Source organism: Homo sapiens, chromosome 18 (genome assembly GCF_000001405.40).
Source record: "Homo sapiens chromosome 18, GRCh38.p14 Primary Assembly".
Lineage (NCBI taxonomy): Eukaryota > Metazoa > Chordata > Mammalia > Primates > Hominidae > Homo > Homo sapiens.
In genome coordinates this window covers 24,816,834-24,819,842 of record NC_000018.10, presented here as the reverse complement: position 1 = coordinate 24,819,842, position 3,009 = coordinate 24,816,834, and the positions used below count along the sequence as shown (strand labels likewise).

The 3,009-nt window shown below is 47.7% G+C and overlaps 1 annotated feature.

The window, feature by feature from the left end:
* Window positions 1,965–2,598: an enhancer, noted in NCBI's record as "NANOG-H3K4me1 hESC enhancer chr18:22397209-22397842 (GRCh37/hg19 assembly coordinates)". NCBI's record gives its function as "activates a minimal SCP1, AML or CMV promoter by ChIP-STARR-seq in naive H9 embryonic stem cells {active_cell/tissue: H9 hESC(naive)}" and the evidence as "EXISTENCE:reporter gene assay evidence [ECO:0000049][PMID:30033119]".

The window sequence follows — 3,009 nt, the reverse complement described above, 5'->3', positions numbered from 1 at the left end:
AGACAATGATCTTTAGGAGATCCATTTTTAACATGCTCGTGGGCCTAGCAGGAGGACCAAAAATGGGAAGAAAGGCTGAAAGACAAAGGGATCGGAGGAGCTGGATGCTCTTCAAGCAAACAGACCTGCAGGCACTGGGACAAGCCATACCAAGGTGTGAAGGGACCAGAAGACAGCAAGATGCCAAGTTGGCTGCACACAGATCCCTGCAGAGACCTCAGAGACAAATAGGGCCAGATTGCTACGGAGGAGCTTAAAGAAATAGCGTGATTATATAGGGACAAGGAGACTGATTTAAAAGAAAACTTTCCTAGAAATAAAACCTTTCCCTGGAAACACTCAGCTGAGCCCCTTTCAAATGTGACTGAGCCTGAGGCCATATGAGAAGGGGGTCTGAGACCCATTCCCACCTGCCCCTGCCCCTTGGAAATAGGGTAGGATGTGCCGCTCTGGAGATGAGGAGCTGGCCCCTGCACGGGCTGTTTGCACTGGCACAAGTACCAGCTCACCCCTTGGGCACAAGCTGCTCTCACTTCCTTTCTGAATGTCAGGGCTCTTAACTGTAAGCAACAGAAACCAACGCTGATCAAGTTAAGCACAAAGTTTGGTTCTTAAAATATTGATTAGTTCACAGGCACACTAGGATGCCTGGAGAACCACATGTGGGGGATTATGTCCCAAATCCCAACACTGAACTCTTGCAGAGAGGAAATCTACCACCAAGACCCTAAAGCTGCTAGCCACAGTGGCTCCAGGAATCCTAATGTCCTGCAAGCAGAATAAGGGGTTCTTCAAGGACCCTGATGCTGGAAAGGACAGTGTCCATGTCCTAGCAGGGAAACTGGGAAGGCAAGCTGTTGGCATTTTCAACTTCAATTGTAGAAGGCAGTTCCGCATCCCATGAGAATCTATACAGTGGTGGCTCCCCGAACAGAGGACAGGCTTTCAGACACAGAGGGGCCAAAAAGAATGACAAGCGTTCCTCCATAGTGACACCCGGCCTCATTTGTGACAGGAAAGGTCACATCCATCTTGTCATTTACCGACATATCCCAGCTCTGCCCACCTCCTCCCACCTATTCACCTCCCCAGTACTTAGCGCTTTTCTTAACCATCACACAGTTTGGAGTGAGGCCTTAGTGGCAGCTGAGCAATTCTCCCTCAGTCGCCAGGAGGATATGGGGGAGGGCCAGGGAGGGAGCGAGGAAGGGAAGCTGTCTCTCCTCTGTGCCCAGGAGGGCCCGTGGCTTCTGCCCTCCCTAGCTTGAAGGGGAGGAGACATGGTCCGGGAACATTCCCCAAAGTACAACTGTCCATCTGTTACACTTGGATGTAATGGGGGTGTTCTTTTTTTTCTTTAATCATTTTGCTACATTTTACTGGTAGCTTCCATGCTGTTTAAGCAGGTAATCATCTAGTCCTTAAAAACCCTGGCACGATTTATCAGAGAGTCTGCTTGGCTTTCTAATGAGTGATCATAATAGCTGTGCTTGCTGGTGGCTTCTTTTTTTCATTTTCAGATTTATCAAGGTCTGATTTAATTGCCATAAACAAGGAAAAACAAGATCAAATTAACAGATGAAATCATAGGGTTTGGCGCTGATACATATTAATGAGCTCTTACTTTTGTGATCTGGCTAATAATGACCCCAGACCTTGATAAAATTAGCCGAAAGGAAAACAAACATATCAGGGCACTGCAGTGCTGGAACGCTTCTAGGCTGAGAAGCCACCAGATGCAAACAGAGGCTTCATCAGAGGGGGTGGGTCAGGGGTGGAAAAGGGGTCTGTAGGACAAACGGCCTCCCTCGTCCCCATGCCTGAAACTGTGTCCCCTTCAGGCTAGACAGTGCCTGCCAGTGCTGTTAGTGGCCCAGCCATGCCAGCTCCCCATGCCCCGCAGACACCCACACAGCCTGGTGGTGCTTGGATCTGAGAAATCAGACACAATATAAGGCACTCCTCGGTGGAATTCTCTTCAGTCCTTTTAACAGGCTTGAAGCATTTTACATCCATAGGAAAACCACCTTTGAATTAGTGGTTTTGTTCTCTGAATTGGGCTTTGTATTTGCTCTAATCAAATTCCCTCTCACCCAGATAAGCATTAAATGTGGATCACATCATAGGCAGACACTTGCAACTCCCTGCCCGCTCTTCTCGGGGAGGACAACTTGCCTTTGTTATGGAAATATTTCTCCATGGTGAGCCCACTCTGGGAAACCATGCACCAGCCACAAACACCCTTTCTGCCCCTGGGTTTGCAAGTCTTCTAGACCATGCGACTTTAGCGAGGAGTCTGATTTGGGATGAGAGTTATATTTCTACAGAAACACATCATCAGATTTTTAAACAAGCACCTGGGCGGCAATATTGGGAGGAGGTTAAGGATACAAGCTGGGAGTCTGAGAAACAGGCTCTGCATCCCCACCCGCCTCCAGCTGGGTCACCTCAGGCAAGTCCTTTAACCTGCTCAGCCTCACTTTCTCCATCTGTACAATGGAGGTAATAAAAATACCTACTCCCAAGGGTCACTGACAATTGAATGAGGTAATGTATATAAAGTGCACAAAACAGTTCCTAACCCATAATATGTACTAGAAAATTTCTTTACTGCACATGTTTTTCTCCCCATAATAAAATCTCTAAGTAAATATTCTTAAAATAAGCCTCTCCATTCTCGTTGATGGTGTGGAGCTGTGGTTCTCAAGCGAGGTCTTCAGACTAGCAGCATCAGCACCCTCCTGGAGAAACTTGGAAGAGCAAATTCTCCAGTCCCACCCCAGACCCCCTGAATCAGAGGGTGGGGCTTGGCCACCTGCATTTTTAAAAGCCTGTCAGGTCGTTCTGAGGTATGCTCAAGTTTGAGAACCACTGGTACAAGGAAAATACGGGAGGCGAATGTTGCCTATAAATTTCACCTGCTCAAATCCCTGCTTTTAAAATTGTTGGATGCCAGATACGGTGACTCATGTATCTGTCATCTCAGCACTTTGGGAGGCAGAAGCAGGA